Source organism: Homo sapiens, chromosome 10 (genome assembly GCF_000001405.40).
Source record: "Homo sapiens chromosome 10, GRCh38.p14 Primary Assembly".
NCBI lineage: Eukaryota > Metazoa > Chordata > Mammalia > Primates > Hominidae > Homo > Homo sapiens.
Window position 1 is genome coordinate 85,605,340 of NC_000010.11, and position 26,209 is coordinate 85,631,548.

The 26,209-nt window shown below is 46.1% G+C and overlaps 1 protein-coding gene and 1 long non-coding RNA gene across 4 annotated transcripts in view; one reads left to right on the top strand and one right to left on the bottom strand.

Annotated features, from left to right (window-relative positions):
* GRID1-AS1 (GRID1 antisense RNA 1) overlaps nucleotides 1-1,876 on the top strand; it is a 29,485-nt gene extending 27,609 nt beyond the window's left edge. Inside the window, exon 3 of the long non-coding RNA NR_038986.1 lies at nucleotides 56-1,876. This is a non-coding gene — a long non-coding RNA (GRID1 antisense RNA 1). The remainder of the gene's footprint in view (nucleotides 1-55) is intronic.
* GRID1 (glutamate ionotropic receptor delta type subunit 1) overlaps nucleotides 1-26,209 on the bottom strand; it is a 767,244-nt gene that overhangs the window by 5,788 nt on the left and 735,247 nt on the right. For all 3 annotated transcript variants that reach the window (NM_017551.3, XM_047425122.1, XM_047425123.1), the window contains 2 exons: nucleotides 14,528-14,694; nucleotides 8,068-8,308 (listed from right to left, as the gene is read on the bottom strand). In NM_017551.3, coding sequence (NP_060021.1) covers nucleotides 8,068-8,308; nucleotides 14,528-14,694 — 408 coding nt within the window. The remainder of the gene's footprint in view (nucleotides 1-8,067; nucleotides 8,309-14,527; nucleotides 14,695-26,209) is intronic.

Consider the following 26,209-nt stretch of genomic DNA (forward strand, 5'->3'; position numbering starts at 1 on the left):
AAGAAATTCAGGTACTTTTAGGGTTTAATAAGATAACCTTCTCTCTTCTTTGCAGCTAGCAAAGCTTGGAGAAGCCTGAACAAGCTGGTCACCCTCACTGTCAAAGACTTTCATTTCCACGGAAGGGAAACTGATGACCTGGGACCATTGGAAGAACTAGTTAGTAATTAATCAGTTGCATAATCTTCCCTTATCCTCTTTTCTAATTTCCCTTCAGGACTTTAAGGACCCCTTTGAAGATGAAAAGAAAGAAAGTTTGAGTGGACTCAATTAAAGTGGGAAGCAGGTGTCTAGGTTCCAGGGCTGCTCAACTCTGGATTCTGGCAGTTGATAGAGGGCCTGGCCTTTTTTCTCAGTCAATTGAGCACTAGCCCAGGGTGTTCAGGAGATGCTCCCATTTTGTTAGAGTTTGGAGAGAGGGAAAGCTTAACTTCCTGTCCAAGAAGAAAGCCACAGGGAGGTAGGAGGTTGGAAGTAAGGGACAAGGTGAAAGAACTCTCTCTATTTAATGCCAGGGAAACAAACATGGGAGCTTCGGGGAAGACAGACCAGCCAAAATTCTCTGAAGGAAGATGTAAGTGAGGGAAGTCTCTGAGCTGGATGACTTCACCACTGAAGTGCAAGTGAGAGAACACTGGAGCATGGTGGATTGTCAAGTGCCAAGCTGGAATAGTAAACGTGGTGGTGGGGAGTGGATCCGGTAATAATGGAGCATTTAGAATCAAGGCCAGCCCTCAGACTGAATGTGGAGATAACTAGTTCTCTGCCAGTCTATTATTTCTGAAGAAAGAGCTTGACTAAGTTTATTTTACTCACATTTTTTTTTGCTTGTCTCAAATCAAGTATGGATGAAGCAGTTCTAAGGACTGCAAAGCTGCGCAGCGGGAACCAACTCCCTACTGCAGTTATCATTCGCCTTTAAAGTCTCCGTGTCAAGACACACAGAAAGTGTCTACACCAAATGGACAAACGTTCCAGGGGGTTTCCTTCCCAACTGCTTATTAAGAAATCCATCCTCTTCACATCAGTGGGACTTCATTCTACTCAAATTCCATCAATTCCCAATAGCTCCAACACGAGGACAAACCCTAGGAGATGAGGGTGCCATCTCAAGTCTCTTATTTTGGTTATTTAACTGAATAAGAAAATGTGTATAACTGCAGCAAATGACTCCTATCTTTCCTGGAAAACAAACGCAGCCATTTGCTGTGTCTCACAATGTGTCCTTTAAGTCGCCTGCTCCTGCTGCTGTCTGTGGGAGCCAGAGCTGAGGTGCGCAGGACAGACCGCCTGGTTTGGAAACCTTGGAAGCATGGTCTGCTTGTATTACCTGGGGTCATAGATTTAGCACTCATAAAGTCATGTCTGTCTGTTCCTTCTGTGTCTCCAGCCAAGGAAAGAGGAGACAGGAGTAATCAGCCTACTCAAGGAAAGAGGCAGGAGTGATTTGAATAATTATCTATCTTTTAGACAAAATACTGCATTCTATTATGTTATGCAAATTCAAATAATGGGCTTTTTTATGTGAACTACATCCGTTTACATCCTCATTATCCCAAGGTTTCGGTATTCGGCCAGGTAATGACAGCTGTGAAAACAGACTTGGAAACTTACTGCTATCTTCATTAATTTACTGTAGGTAACTGACCTAGTCAAACATCCCTGAATATGATATAAAATTCACAGACTGTGTTTACCCGTGAATCCGGCTGAATTCCAGCTCTGCGTTTCTCATCCCATATTAAACATGACGACAGATGCACCAACAGAGGTTACTGGGGAACCTCTCCCAGGCATTGTCTTGCAGAGATAAAGTTCTGTAATTAAGCTGCTGTTCACCAATGTGGAAATAATACAGTGTATTGGAAAACGGTAATTAACTAAACTATCATCTTTGTAACAGCCTGTTACACATGGGACTCCTTAGAACAGACTTTGCTTGGAGTCCAACAGCTCTTATTGTAAGTTGGGCAGGAACAAAAATGGGGATGAGGAACTTCCCCCTGACTGAGCTGGCTGTTGGTGGCATTATCCTATTACCACTGACACCAATCAGGTGCTAAATGGGACCCAAGGGCTGGGAGAAATGCTACCAACACAATCTTCAGTGTTGTTCCCAAGACTTACCCAACCCCAACGGGCCGGGCTAGGGGTCTGAGAGTATTGGCTGGGTAAGGACAAAGGAGCTCAAGTACGTAAGTGAAATGGTCTCAGGAGATGGTGGGCAGTTTTTCAAAGCATCAGGAGAAAGAGTTCTGATCAGTTCAATAGCAGATGTTTTAGGGAGGGCAATGAGAGCGAACCGACAATGACTTCACATCGTGGGTGGTAGCAGCAGGTGCACCGAGGAATGACTGAGGCTAGGGGTAAGGCAGCTTGCTGAAGCTCAGGCAATTCCACAGTAAGTGGAAGGTCAGGACGAGAACTCACATCTACCAGGTTCCCAAACCTGGGCTCTTTCCTTTTCCTTTTTTTTTTTTTTTTGTTTGTTTGTTTGAGACAGGGTCTCCCTCTGTCACCCAGGCTAGAGTGCAGTGGCCCAATCTCGGCTCACTGCAGCCTTGAACTCCTGGGCTCAAGCAATCCTCTTGCCTCAGCCTCCTGAGTAGCTCGGACTACAGTCACATACCATCTCACCTGGCTAATTAAAAAAAAATTGTAGAGACTGGGGTCTAGCTTTTTTTGCCCAAGCTGGTCTCCAACTCCTGGCTTCAAGCAATTCTGCCTTGGCTTCCCAAAGTGCTGGGATTATAGGCATGCGCCACTACACCCAGCCCAAAACCTGGGCTCTTTTCCATGACACCAGTGTGTCAAGAAATTCATCCTCCCCATACCAGTGAGACTTCATTCTACTCAAATTTCATTACCCCCGTAGCTCCTTACCTTGGAATGTTGGCATAAATCAGTGGTTTTCATCCTTGGCTGGATATCAGAAGCACAGGTGGAGATTTTAGAAATTATGGCAGTCCAGATCTCCCTAATATGACCCTTTGGGAAACAGGGCCCAAGCATCTGTATTTCTAAAAAGCCCCAGAATTAATCACCTCTGACATGCAGCCAGAATTAAAAGCCATTGATCCAGGTGCAATGATTACACAACAATTTAACATTAGTAATGTCTTCTTTACGGGAGTCTTGACTAGTTCATTCATTCAATAAACGTGTTTGAGCTCCTACTACCAGATGAGCTAATGTTCTTGGTAAAGCATCTATCTTGGTCCCTGGCACATAGAAAGTGCTCAATACTTGAATTATATTCATCACCCCTTAATAAGAGCTTCCACTGTTCCAGAGAGAAGGCACATTGATGGCAATGCAGAGGTGAGGAGGCACTGGTGGATCTGAAGCAGAGACAGGCAGGTAAACCATTACTGGCAATGTGGAGCATACCCAGCAAGGGGGGCTGCTAGTGGTGGCAGCAAGCAGGGGAGGCTTTGCCAAGTGATCTGGTTTTGAGATACACAGCGGTGTATGGTAAATGTTCCATGGCTTCTCACTGGAGGCCGTGGGCTGAAACATGCACACTCACTATTCTTACTCTCATGCTAAGCCATTTGCTCCTGAGCATAGTTCTCAGGCCAGGCTGTTTCCAGCAGAAGGGAGAGACTGAGGTTCAGATAATGTAAATGTGTAGCCAGAAGCCAGGATCCAGGAGCCTGGCCCTGGGTAGAGCACTGAGTCACAACCTTCACTCCCAAGTCCTCTGGAAAATGCTACCTCGGAACCCAATGGGCTCATGCACATACCCAGAGGAAAGGACAGTGCCCTGGCCTTTTGACAAGCTTGCGCCTGGGAGGCAGCAGGGGTACAGAGGTAGACACATCATTCACATCCCATCTCTACCCTTCTCACTTCTGAGAGGGATTTCATCAGGGATAAGGATGCCTTCTTCAACTACTGAAGAGGGCTAACAAGATTGCTCAGCACAGGAAAGGAGCCCTAAGGTGTCACTTGTCTCTCCCATATTCCTCATTGCCTAGCCCAGGACCTTTGGATAGAGTAGCCCCTTGGCCACCAACAACCAAGCGTGTCTCTGGGCCAGGCACATCTTTAATTCACTTTATATGCCTTCCCTTGTTGAATCCTCAGTGCAACGCTGTGGGTTGGCATAAATGAAGAAGAAAAATGTGCAGACTGGCAAACTCTTTACATGCAGTTGAAGAAGACATCAAAGGAGTGGAGGCAAGAAAGGGTGTGGAGTTGAAGAAGTGAGGGCCCCTGGGATCTAATCTTTCACAGTGGGTTGGGGCATGCAGACAGAGGCTGCCCACAGCCAGAACAGAGGGGCCATCTGCTTCTCTGTCCCCTGCTGCCCGGCCACCCTGGCCTCAGCCAGCTCCTGTGTGCGATGGAAACCGGGCCAGGGGAGGGCAGGCAAGGCAGAAAGCAACAAGAATTCCAAACTCTGAGCCCAGTGATGGATGACTCATCCCTCACTCCTCATGTCGTCTCCCATTTGTGCAGTTCTCATCTTTATTTCATGAATATTTTATTCTCAGAGCAATGGCTCCACATCCCCCATAAATCTAGCGAGTGGCTCTTTACTGCATCCATGGAGTTTGGTGCATTCACCTGCATTGGGTAACTACATAATCGTCTGATTCCTTAGAAAAAATATGAGCTGAAATCTACATGAATATTAAGGGGTTGAAAGCACATTACTACTCTTCTTCAAGTAAGTGTCTAAACTGTGACGACATCCTAGAGCAAGCCATTAAGCACAACTTGGGCTCCACCCAAAGACAGGTTTCTGGCTCTTAAGAAATATGGCCAATGCCTCAAAATGAAACATTCAAAGATTAACCAGACACTCTCACCTAATTGCAAATGCTGCCCCATAAAACACAGGCAACCAGTAGCACAAAGTAGTTCCGGATTAAATACCATCATTATTTTTTGAAGGTTTTAAGAATATGCTTCTAAAAGACTGTCGTTTTGAGCCGTTTCCTGCCTATTCCCTGCATGATAAAGTCAAAACCTCTCAGTCTGGCATTTAAGTCCTTCGGAGCAGGCCCCGTATCCTTCCCCAGCCTCCCCTGCCAGCATCTCCTTCCTCACGTTGACACTTCAGCCCTTGAGCTCCAGGAGGTATGATGACTTTGTTCACCTCCAGCTGTTCACCCTGCCCAAAATGCAACTTCCTATCTCATCTTTAGTACCAGGGTTTGTATCAATGCTTCAAAGCTCAGTTCTAACAGCTCTGAGCCCCAAGTAGTCTTCAATAACCAGCACCCCTAACCCCTCTGACCCCACCATGCCCTGGCTGGGCTGGATGTCCTCGGTGCTTTTGTGATACCTGCTGATCACTGCAGTACAGCCTGCTCAATGAGTGGAGACTGCTGGGCCCAGCTCTCTGCCACATCTGTGCATGAGGAAGTAAGCTCCCTGAAGGCAGGGGCCAGGTCTCTATAGGCAGGCTTATTAAAGGAAGAAAGGGAGAGAGGGAAGAAGGAAGGGAGACATTGCATTTGAAATTTGGAAACCCATAAAAATATGAAAAAGATGGAACATTTCCATGCAACCCTTCTTAGCAACACCAGAAGGGGTTGGAGGACAGGCAGCTGCTGTGCTTTTCCAACCTGCCTCTCTCCATGTGTCCTCATTCCTATCTGGAAGCAGGTTGGCAACAGGGGCAGGAAGTCCCACATTCTGGAAGCAGGGCTAATGTATTCATCATTTCATAACTGAGATCCTGGACTTATGCAGAAGCCAGAATAAAAGGTAGGATGTTTTACCGGCAAGAAAGGAGCTGTTCCTCACAGCTAGGTTATCCCTTGGTCTCCTGGTCTCTCCATTTTTTTCTCTTTTCTTTTCTGTCTTCCTATCTATGTCTCTTTAACAATCACCAGTCTCTCTCTCTCTTTCTCTGTCTCTCTCACACACATAGACCACAACAATTAACTGTGGGTGGTCCAGGCTGAAATTGTCCAAACCGTCACTAAACTAGGCATTGTGAAGGGACAAAGCTAAAAGCAGACAATGACTTCCCATCCAAAGGACAAGCTCTCCCTGCATGTGGCTCACAGATGATAGGCTAGAGGCTGGGGCTGAGCCTGAACCTGTGTCTCCAGGCCCCCACCCTTGCCCACAGCTGCCCAGGAAGACAAATTCCTGACAGTGCAATTTTCATCCACCTGGAGACCCTCCCCTGCTCCGCTGACACAAGGGGCCTTTGCACAGAGGAAACCAGGTTGAAGACTTAGGGAAAACAAGCAAAATCCAAAACAAACAACACGGAGCGGGTGCAACGTGTGCCAATTTGGGGGCCTGGTCTTTCCCATCCTTCTCATCCTTCTTGGTTCTACTGGGGGTGGCTTTGGGGCCACCCCATCACAGCTGCCTACTGATGCTTCTGTGCATAGAGACCTGGGTGGTAACAAGCAGGTGAAGGGTGCACACTGGTCATGGCGTGGAGGGGCTGACATGATGAGGAGAGGTCAGATATGTGTAGCCCTTCCTTACAACTGCTAGTCAGAATAATTCACTGTCCCTCCCACTGACTTCTTTATACAAAATTTTCCAGTAGCCAAAGAAGCTTGGGACAGAACCATCAACTATTCCTTTCAGGGCCTTTTCCTCAAAGGTCTGTCTTCCTTCCCTTCTGAGCTCCAGGGGTGATAGGACAGCCACTGAGGCTGCAGCTGGCCCCAGCTTCACATTCCCTTACATGGAGATACACAGAAGGCCAGAGAGGAAGACAGATATCCCCGAACATTGCAGATGTACTGAGTTAAGCAGTGTCCTTCCAGGGAAGAGACAGCATAAGGACAGAGAGCTCACTACCTGGTATAATGCAGAGTCCTGTAAGGAGCGAGGGACGCCCACCCCTGTCCTCACCCCTGACCTGCCAGGAATGCCCTTATGGACCAATGAATGGAGGGTGCGATGTGGCCAGACACCCAGGCCACACACATGGTGGACCCAGCCTTGCTGTCCAGAGGTGCCAAATCCCTTCCCCAAATCAGTCTGAGAAGAGCCCGCCGGCTCTTACCTCCTCCTGGCTGTTTTTCTTTCCTGTCCCAGTTTATTTTTTGTGCCCCTTGGACCTTCTACCTCTGAAACCATTTAATGAACTGCCCTGTACTATCTGAGCCTCCAGTAAAAACAAAAACAGACAAAAAACAAAACAAAACAGAAGTGCTTTTGGGTTTGATGCAGGTTGCTTTACCACTTCCTGTTTGAGGTTTATATCCATCTGCACCCACAGAGTCTCTAAGCAGAGCTGTGGTTCTAGACATAGCTGAGGTCTATGTGGCAGAGAGTGACAGCCCCACGGATGGTGTGGCTGGGCATGTGGAGTTTCTGCTGGCAAAGCATCACCACCAAATGACACTACTTTCCACCCTTCCGTAGGGCAAAGGTCTCCGGGGGACCTTGGTGAAGGCTTTATTTCAGAAAAAAAAAAAAATTTAAAAAAGAGCTTGCAGAACACAAACCCAGTAAGAAGGAAGTGTGGAGGGGCAGAATCAGTTTGCAGTTGGCACACATGGGGAGAAATGTGTGCCCAGAACCCGGAGTGTGGACAGAGCTAGTGTCCCCCAGGCTGGGTGCACCCAGGAGGGACAGGGGCAAGGCTGGGCCCTGCAAGCAGGAGGAATATAGGGAGAAAGGAGTGCTGGGAGGGACAGGGATCCCCTGATGCGCTGGGAGAGCAGCGCCCTGTGTCCCTTGGTGAGAAGTAAAAGAGAATCAGGAAGGAATGGGCTCCTCTCTTACCCTACAGGTGGTCTCTCCAGGTCAGGGTGGAGGCACATGGGCGGGGCAGGGTAGGGAAGGGCTCTCTGGCGCTGCCCACGCTGTACCTGCTCTATAGATAAATACAGGACTTTAGTGGCTAAGGCTGGTACTGCAGCACTTTGTTCAAGCATGAAAACATCCCCTACATTTCTTCTCTAGTTTTAAAAACAAAATAAAACAATAACAAAATCCCCCAATATAAAACACTGCTGCCTCCAGACAAGATGACTCAGGTAAATACTAACTAGAAACAACCTGCCCTCCCAATGGCCCAGTGTGACACTCCTGCCTCTAGGCTGTGAAAGGGAGGGCAGGCCCCAGGGTGCTGACCTCCTTGGGGGTCTCCTGGTGGCACCGGTTGCTGTTCCACCACAACTCCAGGGCAGCCACCAGGCAGGCCAGGAGCAGGCCAATGGCCAGGATGCAGAAGACCCCGGCGAAGCTGTGCAGCTTGAGGGATTTGCCGTCGGCCTGGGCGCTGGCATGGCTGGTGAGGTCACAGCGGCCCATGTGCGGCCACCACTTCTGCTTCAGCACATCCAGGTCCCCTGTGTCCTGCAGCTCCAGGATCCTGTAAGACACAATCAAGGTGAGCTATAGCCACTGACGTCATCAACTCAGCCACCGGGGCCCTGGCCCCTGCCCCACCATGCTGGCCCCACCACAGACAACATTGAGCCATCCTAGCAGCTTTCTGCCTTAGCTCTTCTCTTCCCAGTCTACTCTCCACACTGCAGGTAAAGTGTTATTCCCAAAACGCACATTAGGTTTTGTCACTCCCCTCCCCAACAGCCCCTCTGCCCTCTCCCACCCTATTCCACTGCCCAAGGATAAAGTCTAACAGCAAATCACATAAGGCCCATTACATGGATTCTGTGGCAAGAGCTCAAGATAAAACTAGGAAATAGACATGAAAGAGGCAAACATTTAGGTTGTGGATTTAGGATATTCCTGATCATGAAAATGCTTTCTTTTGAGCTTTCATTACTATATCCTAAGTCTCTCCCACTGGGATTCACCAAATTATTCTTACAGTCATTTGATTTGAGGATCTTCTGTGCTTTGCCTAGTATGATGTTCAGCACTACTAAGCTTATGGTCTAGAGATACAATCACTGACCCTAAAAAAATTAGCTCAATCAAAGTGCAGGCAGAGCTGTGATTTAAAAAAATGAATCAAAGTAGAGGTTCCAGGAAACACCACATGGTGAGTGCTGTCCACTGGAGGACTAGAGAAACCCTCACTAAGGAGCTAACATGTAAGGGGAAGCTTGAAGGATGACTAATTATAAAACAGCTCACATGGGTCTAGCATGTTCTAGTGCCAAGGAGTATCCTCCATGCTTGGCAAATAGTGTTGAATCCTCATTTGCATGCCAGTCCTTTGAGATGGTTATTCCTATTTTCCCATTTTACAGAGAAGGAAATCAAGGCACAGAGAGGTGAAATGTCTTGCCAAAAGTCATTATGAGGCTGCCAGGGTTGGCTTTCAACTTGGGGGAGGAAGAAACTTCCTAAGACTAAAACCCCATGTGAAAGTCATGTCTGGGGTAGCACTTAGCACATTTAAGAAGCAGAAAAATGGCCAGTGAGACTATTGGGTGATATGGGAGCAGGCATTAGGTGAGGACAGGGAAGAAGGCAGAGCCCAGAACACAGGCTCTGAGGGGGCATGAGAGGCAGTTTCGATTTCATCATGTGTGCAATGGTGGGACAACCCATGCTGCTTCTATACTCCCCATTGTGGTTTTCTTTGGTTGTGGTATTTTGTCTGTAACCCAGAAGTCTTAACAGAGAGCCAGTGGTAGCTGGTAGTACCCAGACCCCAAACACCCAAGCTTTCATTGGGGAGTGGAGCTCTTTAAGCCTGATCCATGGTGATATTTTCGACTGATATCATCAGTAGAGGTCCCTCTGAGTTCTCTGGGTATGTGTCGTTAGAGAGCAACAGTTGTTTATAGCCAGGAAAAATTCACTGCCCACTGGACAGTTGTGTGATCTCTACCCTGGACCTGCATTCCAGGTCAGCTGTGACCACAAACATGAGGTCTTGCTCAATTCCCACACATGGGCTTGTGTCTGGTGGAGACAAGAGCCACAACCCTGAGGGGGTCCCAAGATGTGTCAGCATCATGGGTCCAGTACAGCATGGCCTCCTGATGGCTGGGAATGGCCTGGCTCAGTGCAAAGATTGGCTTTGGAGGCACCAGACCTCACCTGGACCAGGGACTTGCTCCTACTAAAGATCAGTGTTCTCATCTTTGCAACATAAACTGTTGACCGCCACTTAGATGAGCAGACCCTTCAGGACAGGAGCTGTGGGTTACTCTGTTTTCCCTGAGCAAGCACAGTGGCTGGTACCACTAAGGCTGTCTGTTGTGTCAATAAATGTGTGAATGTACTAATGAGTAATGAAAACTTGACTAAGATGGCTGTGGTTAGATATTGATATAATGTCCTTTAAGTGCTTAGGGCACTGATCAGCATGTAAGACACAGAATGTGGCTGTGCATTCAGTGACTTAGTTGTTAAGATACATGTGCATTTATATGGTTTGGGGTCATGCTTAGATTGCCCCAGAACACTACAGACCTCTCTCATGGCACACCACATGGTGAACTGGACAGCCGCAGTGTTGCACCACCTCATATGGATCATGTCGGGCCAACTCCGTGGCTACATGTCTGCCTGTTCACTGGCCTTAATAAGTCTCTGCTGGTAGGGGTGAGGAGGCTGAGCCTCCTGGCAGTTGCAGGAACCTCAGGGACAGATAGGCAGGACCTCAGGGCCTTTGAGGATGTCAGCAGTTGAAAAACTAGCTAGCTATGGATAGACAGTAGAGCTTCGTGTTCATGGATATCCATTCAAATCCAGGCTTGGAGCCTCTCAAATTTAGCTCTCTCATCACTAAAGCCTGAGGTTATAATAAATGTACCTACCTCACAGGATATTGCGACAAAATGAGAAGAGGGAACACATACAGACCGTTAGCTCGAGATCCAGCCAGTAATCAGAGCTCCATAAAAGCTGGTTAGTAGTTGTCAGCCTGATGGCCACATTGACCAGTAGCCTTATCCTGCCAGCACTGACATGAGCGACCTTTTATAGAGAACACAGTAGGAGCTGATCATATTACACTGTTTGAATCCTCATAACAGCCTGCAAAGTGGTTCTTATTATGTCTATTTTACATCTCAAAGACCTAAAGCTCAGAATCTAGATGACTTGCCCACTGTTGTAATTAGAAAGTGGTGATGCTGCTCATCAGAGCTGGGTCATTCTGACCCAGGAGGCCATGCTCTTTCCAGAACAGCAGGCTGTTCTTCCGGGGCCAGCTTCTGGCCCAGGGGATGGTGAGGCTCTGGCCAGATGGTGGTTGTGGGGTCAGATCCCCACTCCTCCGCTCATTAGGCAGATCCTGTGCAATGTCAGGCAAGTTGCTTAATTTTGCTGACCTTCTCTTCTTCCTGCTCCCTATAATTGTATGCATTTTTTATACCCAATCTTATCCCAGAATGATAGTAAGGCAATTTATACGAAAGCATAACATAAAACAAAAAACCTAAACAAACAAAGGAAATTTAAGTATGGAAGGGACAGAGGAAAGCTAAAACAAGTCACGGGTACAAAATGACTTTGAAAATGAGGCTAAACTAATGCACACCATAATAATCCATACTCTCGCTTACGAGGAAGCCAGAGGGATAATAGCCACTTCCTGAAGCCAGTTGTTCTATTTTCCAGACAGATATAATTGCAGGTGCTTTTTTTCATTCAATAGCTGTGGAGCCTGCTACACAGTAGGTGCTCAATAAATGGCTATTAAGTTGCTAAACATTTATTGAATGCCCCAACTGCATGCTGTGGTCTGCAAGCCTGTTTATAGCACATAAGCCCTACCACACACACACATACATCTACATCCTGTCCTCTGCCAAAGCAAAGGAGCATATCTTTATTGAAGGAAATAGTTTAGTTCCCAGGATGAAGGGGAAGACAGTTATAGCAGTTCCACATAAGGCTGGGACCTGTCATTTATACTAGAACCTGTTTTCTGCAAATGGCATCAGGCATTGCTCTCAGGACCTATCCCTTCATTCCTCTGAAGCTAGAGGCAGCTCACAGTTCTGCATGCACCATACAACAAAGCCCCCCCCCCCTTTTATTTTTTTTGAGAACAGGGTCACGTTTTGTCACACAGGCTAGAGTGCAGTGACATGATCTCAGCTCACTGCAATCTCCACCTCCTGGGTTCAAGCAATTTTCATGCCTCAGCCTCCCAAGTAGCTGGGATTACAAATGTGTGCCACCACATCCACCTAATTTTTTGCATTTTTAGTAGAGACAGGGTTTTGCTATGTTGGTCTGGCTGGTCTTGAACTCCTGGCCTCACGTGATCTGCCCGCCTCAGCCTCCCAAAGTGCTGGGAGCCACTGCACCCAGCCCAACAGAACCTTTTAAAGAACCACTGGCATCAGTAAGTTGGCAACCTGAGGTCTGAGTGTCCCCACTCAAGGGATAATTCCAGCCCAGGAGGAACTGTACCCTACAGGAAGATGAGGAAACTGTGGGAAGCCAGCACAGGCCACTGGTGACATTTCCTTATAATCACAGAGCACATGCCTTCTGATGAAAGCAAATAGTAATCAATCACTACTTGCCAAAATGACATGGAAACTGGACTAGCCACATTTGATTATGGTGACTATTGGAGTCAGGAGAGCAACCCATGGGGTCTCTGTTGGGAGGTTTCACACAGGGACCTCACGGTCAGTGAGTGGACAGGTAGTGGGCAGGCCTGTTTCAGAAAGCCTGGTCTCTGGAAACACACACCCCATGTTGGCCCTGGCCCTGGTCCTCTGAAGCCACACAAAGGACATCTCACTCCTTCTGCCCCCAGCAAGGCTTACGATATTGGAGGTGGGCAGCCACACCCCTCCCCACTCATCTCCACCTTCTCCAGGTTGAGTATTCTCAGGTTCTGCTCTGACCTAATGGGAGCCCCCTCTGCTCTGACTCCATTCAGCAGTCCAGCCAAGACCCGGGTTCCTGGACTAATGTCTGCTGCCTCTTCTCTCCAGTGTGTCAGTGTTCACTTCAGCAGACTCTCAGGAGCCATCTGAGCAGTGTGAGCACACGGGGACTCTAACCTTTCCTCGCTGGGGCCCCTGTGCTTCCATGAGCGCTGCCTTGGGGTACATGAGCAGTCTTGGTGCTGCTGCTGTGTTGGCCCCATGGGCTCTCTTACCATCTGTTCTAGAGAGATGCTCAGAGGTTGATGGTCTGTGGAATCATCCTGAGCCTCCCATTTCGGAAAACCAACTGGTGCGAACCTCAAGAACACCAACGTGTTATAAATCCTGGAGAGAAGCCATTCTTTCTTCATGCATTTAATCTGAGCAATTGATAAATCACTACTCCTCCTTCCCTCTTGTCATCTCTCTCTGCTCCAGAGAGCAGAGGGAGGAAAAGAATGTATACTTGATTAAATTTAAGGGAAAACCCAAAAGCCTCATTTACCTTAATTAGCCCTACTCTTTTCCTTAGTTTTGCAAAGAAGCCACTGAATGGACTGGTTGCAGGCCCTCCTCCTCAGCCTTCCCTTGGTGGGGCTGAGGTCCAGGTACTCATGAGCAGAAGGGCACAATCTGGACATCTAGAGTGTGAGAGAAGGGAGGTCGTGGTGCTTGGAGATCCAGCAGCCACATGGGCATAGCACTAGGGCTCAAGAGACCTGGATTCTACTCCCAGCTCTGCCAGCAGCTGGCTCAGCAACCCAGATATCCTAGTTGCCCTCTGAACTGCAGGATGTTAAAGAAATGGTTTATGAGGACTCTCACGTCTCCAAATAGAAGTTCCTTAGTACTGAAATTCATGCATTAATCAGTCAATGAGTGTTGCCCCTGAGCCTGGCACGATGCCAGCCTTTCCATTCAGATGCTTCTGCCTCATTTTGGATTTGGGTGGACTCTGGCAGAGCCTGCCCCAGGGCTTCTGCACTAGGCTCTGCAGATTCATCCCTTCACCCAGCAAAATGCCCTTCACAGATATGTGCAAGAAGATGGCCCAAGGCTTAGACACCTTGGCGACAGGAGCCCCTGTTTGCAGGCTGACTACTGGACAAAGGCCACTGAACTACCCATGCCCCACTTCCACCCTTCCTGGCTAAGGCCACATCCCTTCCCTGCCCCAGCAGACAGCATCTCCTTGGACCAGGAAAGTTCTGCCCTACAATCAGAGGCCCCATACAGCCACGTGCAAATAAATATGGAGACATTCTGCTTCTCTGACTCTACTTTTTTAAAGTCTCCACATTGACTACTGCCACATTACAGGTACATTTCTCTTTAAAAGTGATTAGTAGGCCCTTATCAGATCCTGCTAATTATTCATTTTTCTGGCTAACTCCTCCTCATTCTTCCAGCTTCAGGGGTGTCCCCTCCTCTGGGAAGTTCTCCCAGATATCCTGGGTCTGGTGAGATGCCGTTTTCTCCCTGCCTCTACCCTAGCATCCTGAAGACGTCCTTGCCATGTGCTAATATGCCCTAGGCTGGCATTACCTGCTCCTATCAGAGATCCCACAGAGACTCTGAGCCTTCCTGGCAGGGACCATATACTTCCACAGGGTCTGAGGGTAGGGGAGGAGGAAGCAGTGGGACATAGTATGTGCTTGGGAAAATATGACGAACAAAGATGTTTGCATTGGCTCTTATCTTCTAAGAGGTTATTCTCCTACCCTTGACCACTAGAGTCCTGAGGCAGCGGTAGTTACCTTGCTGCCCAAGCCTACCTCTGGGAGAAGAGGTCCCTGTAGGGGCTGCCATGCTGCAGGGCAATCCCGTAACCCTTGCTGCTGATGCTGTTGCCGATGACAGTCACCGAGCAGTCGTCATCCGTCAGGGCTGCGTATTCCACCACGGCCACATCCCACAGGAAGGCGTAGTTCCCCTTCTTTGCCTGAAAGATCAAAATTACCATGAAGTCAGGCAGTCCTGGCCAGCTGTGTCAGCTTTGATTGGTGAGCCATCTTGATGGTGGGATTTGAGGGACCCATCCTCAATGGTCTTCCTACCCACCAGACAGCACAGCAACTCTGCTACTGTTTTCTGGCCTACAAATGCCAGCATTGGTTGAGGCCACTCACTTTGACTAGACATAAAAGGTGCGCAGGCCAGCCACAAAACATCTCATGGAGAGGGGAAGGGCAGAGGAGCTAGAGGTGGGCTCTAAGACGAGCTTCCTGGTCACAGTGCTATGGGCCTATGTCTCAGATTAGAGGGCTCAGCCATGGAAAGTGCAGAAAATCTAGTGCCAGGTGACTGAGATTCTGAGATCAGAAATGTTGGGGAGAATAATATTTGGGGATGAGGAATAGGGGAGAATAGAACTGTGGCATATCTTACCCACTGATATTTCTACTTAGAACTTGTCTGAGCTCTGCTTAGGGTGAATGTGGAAAATAGCCCTGAATTCAGTGCTGCGGAGTAATGGTGACTTAATATCAAGCACAAGCACATGTCTAGAGCCCCCTGTGCATGAGGAAAAATCCATTAGGGACAGGGCTTGACTGTTATGGTGCCACGCCAGGCTTCTGCCACTTGTCTTTTACTGCCCACATATGAAGGTATGCACATGCCTGCACACACCCCTACACATGTACACACATGCCTGTACACACATGCCTGCACACAAACACACCTGTGCACACGCACATACATGTGTAATAAGCACACATATATGCACCCATAAATATGTGTGCACATATGCATGCACACACTCACATGCATATATGTTTGTACACACACATAAACATATATATGCACACACAGGTGCAGGTTTCTGGTGTCACTATCTCCACATCAGTGCAGTGGTGGCAGATTCTTCCATCAGGAACTTGCCTGCAGCGACAGCTAAAGCCCTACTCTGTCGCACTCATCCACAGCAGAGGTTCTCTTCTATCCTGAACAACAATTCTAACTTTGCCTGGAGTTTGGGCACTCGGAGGGAATGCAAGCTGCTTTACTTTCTGGAAGGAGATGCAAACCTGACACTGCCACCTGGCCATCTTAAAACAAAGTAGAATGTTCTTAATGCAGCAAAGTGCCTGCCTTTAATGCTATAGTGAGCACACAGACACCCCTTTGCCGCTTCTTTCCTTTTTACCATGGCTTGCACCAGATGATGGGGGCCTCATTATGGGCTTAGTGACAGCACTGAAACATCACAGACAATAATAGGTCATGCTAGCAAGCTACAGGCTTCTTGGCATTGTTGAGGACATTGTCCCTGGCTCCTGCCTTTGTTCAGTTGAGTCTTCATGTCCACTGAGACTTTCCAAAGAGTGTCGTAGCTACTTAGATGAAGTTAGTCAAGATTTTATTTCTTTCAAGACCCCAAGTGCTCATGGCCCAAGACAGCTTATTTCCTTGTCAGAAGTTCTCCATTAGAAGGATTTGTGGGCAGAGTGTGACCTCCTGCAGTGGGAAGAGCCTGTTCCCAGACATTCAGACAATTTTGCCCAACGACCTTGTAAGAAATGACACACACCTGTGCCACTCATTGACTTTCACCTCGAGGAGCAATCCAAATATTACACCAAGGCTTCAGTCCTCAGCCAATCCAATTTCAGAAGTCCTAAAGGACTTTGACCCAGGTTGCAAAATTACACACATCTCTCTCCTTCCTTGTAGGAAGATAACAATCCTATAAATTTTTCCTGCTGGCAAACAAGTTTTCTCACAAAAAGATAGACATTTTCAACCTCTTAGTAACCAAGTTTCTCAGCAAAATGTTGACTTATGACCTAATATTTGGCTTTAGTCAGACTTTGGAGCATTTCACATCCATGCTTGCAATTCAACATGACAATCAGACATTGTTATTTCTATGATTTCAAAAGGGTATGTCACGTTGAGGGAAAAATTAAGATAAAGGTTTGTTTCTACATTTCAAGTGATGCTCCAAGAATGAAAACAAAATATGCTGGCTTAGAGAGAATGGAAAGGGACTCCAAGGAAAGCCTGATGTGGCCACTCTAATGGGGCACTTGGCTTCCTTCAAGCCATTTGGGCATTTGTGACTCAGTTTGGGCTCAGGGACAGGTGAGCACAGCTGCATGAAAGCACCCACATTTATAGTCCTGCTGGCCTAAGCTGAGAAAGAGGGAACATCCAGAAGGGATGCTGGCAATGGCTCAGCCTCAAATCCCTGCTAACCAGGAAGGAAGTCCGGAGGAGACAGTAGGAGCTGCCTTCTGGACCTACTGAACACTCCATCTCCCCATTTGCCTATTTGTAAACAGGGACTAAGTTCATCATTATATTTATTTTTTCTTTTTTTTAAAAAAAATATAGACAGTCTTGCTATGTTGCCCAGGCTGAACTTGAACTCCTGGGCTCAAGCAATAGTCCTTCTTCAGCATCTTGAGTTGCTGGGACTACAGGTTCACGCCACTATGCCAGGCTGCCAATATATTTCTTGTGTCTGCTTGAGGAAGCATGTGGCTGGATCCTGAATCTGTCTGAAAATGCCAAAGCAGGAGCACCTGGAGAGGGTGCTATCCCACATTTTGTGATGGGAGCTGGAGGTAGGCTCTAGGATGAGCTTTCTCATCATGGCATGGGCTTATGTCTCAGATCGAGGGGCTCACCTTTGGAGACGGCAGAAAATCTAATGCCAGGGGATTGCAATTCTATGGAAATGTAGGGGAGTATAACAGTGTGGAGATGAGAAAGAGGGGAGGATGGACTGTGGTAAATCTTACCCATTTGATATTTCTACTTAGAACTTGACTGAGCCCTGCTTAAGGTGAACACAGGAAATGGCCTTGACTTCAGTGCCTCCAAGAACTGGTAACAATATCCAGCACAAGTACATGCCTAGAGCTCCCTGTGCATGGGGAAGAACACTTTATGGACAGGACCCTGACAGGGCCAAATCAGAAGCTCCAATAGTGGCAGGACAGGCCAGATTCTAGCTCTGTCCTTAGGAAATACCCTCCATTCCTAAATGTCGTCTTCACTTCCTTGGCATCCTAGAGCTTCCTCAGCCTTTCTCTTTCAACTCCATGCTGAGTAAAAGGCAGTGCTGAGGCTTTCTTTGGGTCCCCAAATTCATTTATTTCCAGAACTTTCTGGACTTGCAGACATCTCCCCAGTTTCCAGTGTGTCACAGAGCCTGTCTGAGACATAAGGCTTCTTAGGTCTGACCATACTGTCAGGAACATTGCAGACACCAGCTCTAAGAAGTTAAAATATCCCACCCATCATGGCCCTGTTGTCTTTATACAGACCCTCTTCTTGTTTCCTTGCAGAATGAGCTCCATCCTGCCCCACAAAAACTCTAAGCTTTGCTTCCTCCTTGTAGGGTCAGAATCAGTTTTCCACGTGGCCCCAAATAATGATGAATTCACCCCCTTATTCTGTGCTACTTATCCACAGGTCTGGCTTCCCCACTACGGGGGGCTGGGGGGAGGACACCAAATATATCAAGCATCTGCCTCCAGGACAGCCAAGCAACTCCTCTCTTCCCTGCCCCTCCTGTTGCAAGTTCACCCTCCTCCTTCCTTGAGTCTCAGCATTTCCTCCAATCCCACTCCTAGGTTCAGACCCCTCCTCTGTGGGTGCAACCTCTTATCTAGCCTCTAGTTCTATCAGGAAAGCATGTCTACCCCTTTCTTGCCTTGCTCCATCCCTTCATTTCCATTTCAGAGATCTTTCACATTAGGAAGCATTTGTCATTTCCTATTTATATTAACTCTTTTCTGTTGAGGATGTTTTTCAGGCTCTGGAAAGGACAGAGCATCAGCAGGAATCTAGCTTCCTTTCAACCTTGTGCTGTGGTCTGGTGCTTGTAGAGGGAGGAGGATGAACCCAGCCATCTCCTTGCAGGTGTCCCAGAGTCCCTTGACCAAGTGTCACAACAGATATTTAGATCTGCTATTTTTTGCCACTTCCTATTCAAACCAACTCCTTCTTCCTGTATCTCCCAGTACTGTCTTGTCCCTACTTACAGGTGGCTGTGGGGAGTTGAGGAGGATAATGTCTGAGAACAGGCATGATAGGTGGTGAGCTGTTTGCAAATAGATTATTGGCATTTATCTCATAATGCCTAAAAGATAAAAGGGATGCCACTGATTTGAGTTCTGCTATTAAAATAAAACAAAAACAAACACTGTATTTCACCTTTCAATGGGTTAAATTACCTTTATCTGGCCTGGCTAGTCCATTTATAATATGAAATGCATTCTGAATTTCCAATCGCTGACTTACCATGGATCAATGCCTTAGCATAAGGCTGGTGGAAACTTAGGCTGGAGACAAGGCTGTGGATACAGCCAAGCTTACTCCAAGCCTTGAGCTGTCTGCAGAGCCTAGGTGGGCATAGACACCCAACACTCCAGGCCCTTTTGACCCCACAGAGCCCTTCAGGACTAGATACGGAGTCCTGGGACTCCAGCCCCCACGTTTCTTCCAGGAGCTATGAAACGTATTTGCAGATCATCTAAGAAAGTAGAGGTCTGAAAACTAATATGTGTAAGTGGCCAAATTACATTTCTAGCGGTTTCTTAAAAAATTGATAATATCTAGTGGTAAAGAAACTGTGAAAAAAATGTGCGTAATCCTTCATGGCTACCGGCACCACAAAATGATGCAATCCTTTGGAGAGTAATACAATAATACAGAACACAAATGTTTAAAGCTGCTCATGTCTTTCACCTTTGCAAGTTGGGAATTTCACCGAAAAAGTAACCTAAATATATCTAAAATGCATGACAAATATTCTAAATTAAGAGTTGACTCTAAAGTAAACATAAGGTTTAAATATTTACTATTAGGGAAATAACAATAAATTATGATTCATAAATGTGATAGCATTTTATGTAACAGATAGTAATATAAAGACTTTACAAAAACACTATATATTTATATATAGACATATATATGAATACTTAAGGAAAGTGGCAGAAATAATAGGATGAACAGATTATTATTGATAGATACGGTATTATTACTGTTGTGTGTACATGTGAAATGTAATATTCTAAAAGATTGATCATCACCTAATAGAGTGGGATAAGTGATAATTTTCTAAACAAGTGGGTGAAAGTGTTGTGTTTATTTAACCTTGTTTCACAGTTTGTTCTATCATGCATGACACAGACAACTAATCCAATCTGCATACCCTGTGTGCCCCTGGCTCCACTGGAGCAGTGCCCTGGCCCATCAACAGGACACAAAGGCCTGGGAGAGCTCTCAGACCTCTCCAGGACACTGGCTCCCTGATAATACCCAAGCACTTGGGAAAATCTCCTTGACATTTTTGGCCTACTTCTAAACATTTTACTTCATTTCATTCTCCGCTTTTCCTAAAAGAAAAGTAAACAAACAAACATGGTCCAGACAAAAAAAGAATAGATGCAGGAACTTTAGTGAAAGGAGGAAGAATATCTTGGCATGAGAAAAAGTCAAAGGCATGTGAGCATCCATCCCTGGGATGCCAGGACAACAGCAGCTAGAGAGACCACCCAGCCTTGTCCCCCAGCAAACACCTTAGCAAGCAGATTCCCTTCTCAGTCTACCTGCTCCCTGGGTTGTTGCAAAAGGAAAAAAATTGACATGGTGAGGGAGTCTGGCTCTAACACTTACAGCATCCTCCCTAACATTTAGCAGAATATGATTGGCCTCTATTTGCTGGAGGAAGGTTGGGCTCTATAAAAGAAGCCACAAGTGAGCTGATTGGATGACTTGCTTGTGTTCCATGACTTCACACTGGCAGTAAAATGAGATGGCATTGCCTTTTGTTGCTCCACTGATTCCACCCCTTTTGGAACTCACTTGGAGCACAACCTTTCAGAGACATCAGCCTTTAAGGCAAGAACCTCATTACGCTATTCCATTCCATCCTAACTGCTTTGGAAAGGGACAAGCAACCACACTGCTCCCCCCAAATGAGAATGCTGGTGCTGCAAACATCAGTCAGAAATGCTATCTGAAAGGAAGCACAGAAGGAAGACAGGTGCCTGTAGTGCCAGGTGCAGGGTAGGTGTGGGGCACCCACTGGGTACCAAGGCCTTCAGAAACCTGATCCCTTTTTTATCCATATAATACTTCTCGAGGGCAGAAGATTCCACCCCATTTACAGACAAAAAGACTGAGGCTCCAAAAAATTAAATGACGTGTCCCAAACAAGCCTGAATTATGAACAGTGGAGCCATGTCAACCTGAGTTACATCTGGCTCCAAAGAAGTCTGTGCTGTCTCCTCTGCCCTGGTTAGACTTATGAAGTATGGACTGGGGAAAATTCACCTACTGTCTTTGCTCTTGGACCACTTCCTAGGGGACATTGCTGGTGACAGACCACACACAAATGGCAATGCCTGTCTTTCCCTAGCTTTAGAAACAAAAGTGTTTCATGGAGTCACTGAAACTCTGGAAGAAGGGAGGACATGGGGTCTGCCCCTTCTCTGTACATCAGGGACTCTTTGGAAACCTGACACATTCTCATGTACATTCACCATCCATGCAGAGTGCATTTTGCCTCTGCTTGCAGCCACCATTTATCCTAACGAAGCAGAGTTCAGCCTTTTCAAGCATCCCAAGTCTTAGTTCCTATAGTCACGTTCATTCAATGGCAACACATTACCACATGCAGCCTGAACCCTGGCTACAGTGTTACCTGTATTATGTATGTACCATGCCAAATTGTAAGATTCAACAGTAAAAACCCAGACCATCTGCAGAGAAAAAGACAATTTTGCAATCGGCTGGTGGGAGTGTGGCTGGCGTGATATTTCTGGAATGGCAATTTGGTGGGGAGAATTGAATGTTTTTAAAATGTGTACATGCAGCGATTCTACCCGTGGGATTTATCCTAAGGAATTATTCAATTTTCAAAAAATGTTTGCATAGAGATTTTTTCAGGGCTACACTGTTTAAACTAGTCAGAAGTTGGAAGCAACCTAAATGCTCAATAATTGGGAATCAGATAGGTGAATGATAGTATTAGATGGTGGAACATTATGTTACCATTAATATGGTGCTTTAAAAGAGCATTGATTGTTAAGGGAAATTTCCATGGGAAAAAAAAGAGGCACCCCTGAGCTATGAACCAGCCTGGGTTACTGAGTCCAACTGTATGAGTTTAAATGCTAGCTCCACGCTTGCTGCCTGTGCAGACAAGTTGTTTAACATCTCTGAGTCTCAGTTCCACTGGATAAACTGGTCCCTACTTCACAGAGTCCTGATGAGGATTAAATTCCTCAATATGTGTGATGTGCTCAGGATCTTGCTTGACATATGGTAAACGCTAAATAAATAATAATCTATCTTATATTGTTTAGTGGAAAAAGAACCTGTTACACTAGAGTATTGACATTGTGACCGCCTCTTAAATTATTATGTAAAACTTTATGTTTGTGAAGAATCAAAAATAAGTGCCAAATACAAGCCATGGTCATCTTTGGGAGGTGCCATCATGGGTGGCTTTTGTTGGTTTTGAACATCTCTGTGTTGCCTATGTTTCCTGCAGCTCAGCAAGCCTCACCTTTTGTGATTACGGATATCGAGGCTCGGCCTCCTTCCTTCTGCACAGTGCAGCAGAAAAAGCAGGGTGCCCATTGTCACAGCCCAGCTCTCCAGTGACCCTACTGTCTCAGGGGCTAAGAATTGTTTCCTAAAAGGAAGGTTGGGAGTGGGAAATTCCCGAAGGCAAAACACTGTACCTGGTACAGCATGAGGGCTCAACGCGAGTTCCGTTTCCTGCTCCTTCCTTCAGTTCCCAGATGGTCAGGAGATCCATCTGTCAGCTGTGATTGAAGCATTTTTCCTCCACCTACTCCCCTCCTGCCAGTCACTCCCCCACCTTCACCAAGTCAGCAACACACTCTGTGTGAGTAAGCAGTGTGTGTGCATGAGTGTGTGCATGCAGAAGAGTGTGAGCGTGTGTGTGTGTGCATGAGAATTGTGTATGTGCATATGTGTAAGTGTGAGGGAGATGTGTGTGTATAGATGTGTCCATGTGGATGCACGTGAGAATGTATGGGTGGGTGAGTGTGTGTGCATTCAATAATACATGTTAGTGTCTATAGGTATGTATTTATGTGTATGTGTGCATGGGAATGTGTGTGTGTATGGGTGTGTGAGTGTGTGCATGTTGGAATAATATATGTGCAGGTATGACTGTGTATGTGTGTGAATGTATGTGAGGATGTGAGAATTATGTGAGTGTGTACATGTGTAAGTGTGAGGGAATGTGTGTGTGTGAAGGTGTGTGTATATGTATGTGAGAATTGTATAAATGTGTGTAGGTTGATGAGTGTGTTTATGTGTGAGTGTATGAGTATGTGTATTATCGTGAGCACCATTGCCCCCAGGGAGGCAGCAGAGAAGAGGACTCAGGTACCAAGCTGCTGGAGAACCATGAAGGGTTCAGAAAAAGTGGACCTTCAGCTGGAGATAAAGAGCCCATCTCTAAAGAGAGAACAATGGAGAAAGGTGATGCAGAATCAAAATGATGTGAGGCTGTGAGGCAGACCATTGGTGGGCCCAGCTAGGAGGTTGTCAGGAAACCTGCTACCCAAAGAATGAAAGGTAAAGACTTTTTATCCAGATCAGACTCTGGACCAGCAAAAGGAGGCAAACCAGGACAGGCTCAGTCGGGGGACAAGAGATTGCAGCTGAACTCTCCACAAATACTGAAAAAGCTGCTTTCCTGAGGGTCCACAGGGTGCAAAGTTAATTTGGCTCCTGGCTGCAGCCCAGAGTGAATAGAATGGGAGTGGACAATGAGTTGACACAACCAAAGGGGAGCAAGGCCATCTAGCAGTGGGAAGGCCTCTGGCTTGTGTGGCATGCAGAGCACAGACATGAGGGCAGCCCTTAGCTTTGTCATGAAAGTCCCAGAGAGGCGGCCCATGACCTGGGCAGGACAACCGAGAAGATGGAGGTGTTCCCAGGCTACAACAGTAGGACATGGCTCCTGATGGCCAGGCCCCAGGATTTCTGCAAATGATTGCCTGTCTCATCCTGGTATTCCTGTGTCCTAGAGTAACATAGTCAATAGTGAGGAGGACAGCAGTGGATAGAGAGAATGAGAGTAATTTTGCATCTCAAAAAGGCCACCAATCCCTTTTTTTCCATGAGTTCCTTTTCTTTGTTAGAAAATTTGTACGAATTTAAAGGGTACAAGTGCAGTTTTGTTGCATGGATGTATTGCATAGTAGTGAAGTCTGGGATTTTATTGTAACCATCACCCAAACAGCCTATATTGTACCCTTCATGTAATTTCTCATCCCTTACCCCCATCCCACCCTCCCACCTTTCCAAGTCTCTAATGTCTATTATTCCACACTCGATGTCCAGGTGTACACATTATTTAGCTCCCACTTAAAAGTGAGAACATGTGGTATTTGATTTTCTGTTTCTGAATTATTTCACTTAAGAGAGTGACCTCCAGTTCCATCCACGATACTGCAAAAGACATTATTTTATTTTTGTTAATGGCTGAATAATATTCCTTTGCATAAATATACATATATATCACATTTTCTTTATCCAATCAACAGATTGATTTCATATCTTTGCTATTGTGAATAGAGCTGCTATAAACATATAACTACAGTTATCTTTTTGATATAATTTTCTTTGAATAGATACCCAGTAGTGAGATTGCTGGGTAGTTCTATGTTTAGTTTTTTGGGAAATCTACATACTGTTTTCCATAGAAGTTGTAGTAATTTACACTCCCACCAGCATTGTAGAAGCATTCCCTTTTCTCTGCATCCTCACTAACATCTGTTATTTTTTGTCATTTTAATAATAGCCATTCTGACTGGTGTAAGTGATATCTCACTGTCGGTCTAATTAGCATTTCTCTGATGACTAGTGATGTTGTGCATTTTTTTCATATGCTTGTTGGCCATTTGTATGTCTTTGTTTGAAAAATGTCTACTCATGTCCTTTGCCCACTTTTTAATGGAGGGACAGATAGCCAGAATTTGTAAGACACTCAAACAACTCAACAACAGCAACAATAGCAGAAATGCCTTTTCTCTTATGTTATCTGCCCTTTGATTTTTTAACTTCCTTTATAGAGTCTTCAATCCCACTTCACAGACAGCACGGCATGGTATGTTGGCAAGAACAAGGGTTTGGAGACAGGTGGACCAAGTCTTTCTTTAGCATCCTTGGCCAGCTATCTAAGCCCTCTGAGCTGAATGCCCTCACCTAGAAGACAGGAATAGCATGCCCACCTCACACACTTGTCACAGGAAAAGACAGTGTGGAAAGTGCCTGGTGCATTGAAGAAACGCAGACAACAACACGTTATTCTCATGGTCATGACAATCATTACCAGCATTACCTTACAGCTTAAAGTTTGGATCCTGATAACAACGCGAGTGCCTTGGAATAAATAGCACGTGAAATTGTCCTCAACCATCAGCCTAGTAAATTAGAAAAACTGTTAGACTAGGCTGGGTCACAGTCTTGGCCCAATTATTCATTTCATATCAATTTATAAAAATGGAAGAGGGGCACAGGTGGTCCTTCAAGTCTTCTCCAGATCTGGTATTCTCAAAGTCTATGCTATAGACTAGTGATTCTCAAAGTGTGTTTTCTGGCCAAGCAGCATCAGCTCACTGAAGAACTTATAAGAAATGTAAATTATCAGGTCCCATCCCAAGACCCACCAAATAAGAGACTCTTGGAACGAGGTCCAAAATGCTATGTTTTAATAACCTTTACAGGTGATCCTGATGCATGCTAAAGTCAAGATGTAATGACTTAGACCTCTGGGTCAAATAATTTCTGATCTTCTCTTGAACACAGGTTTATAAAGGGAGATAGTATTAAAGCTCTAGGGTGTTGAATTGGAGTACTGAATGGAAGAAGGGAAACCATAGAGTTGAGAGACCAAGGCTACTAAAAACAAATTTTAAAGGAAAGTCACACTGAATATCTTCCTGAAAAGAACTCTACTTTATGCTTTACCAGCTATTCTCTTCCCTTACCATCAATTCTGTTCCCTGAATTTCTTAGAAAGTTCAGGATAAACTTCCATAGTCCAAATTGTGTACATTTTCCACCCAGGGAAATTGAGGCTCAAAAAGAACCAAGGCCACAGAATTTGCTATTGGCAGAGCTTCAGTTCCTCCTCAGATCTCCTTGACTGCAAATTGCCTTCCTCTCTGTCACATCAAAAGTTTAATATCAGTAGCCCCAAACAGCCACATTGAGCCCCCTGACCATCCTGTCCTCATGCTGGTTTTTTCCCCTCTTCTGCTGCCAGATTCTTGTCAAGCTTTTGTTAATGACATCTGCCTCCAGCATCTGACCCTGTGGAGACATTATGGCTGCATTCCCTTTTGGGGCCTCCAGCACTTTGGGGAGGAATAGTTTTGTTTATTGAGCAAAAAATTGTCCTAGTAAAATAAGGTTTCTTATATTTTCAAGAAAAAAAGAAGCTGGTTTGG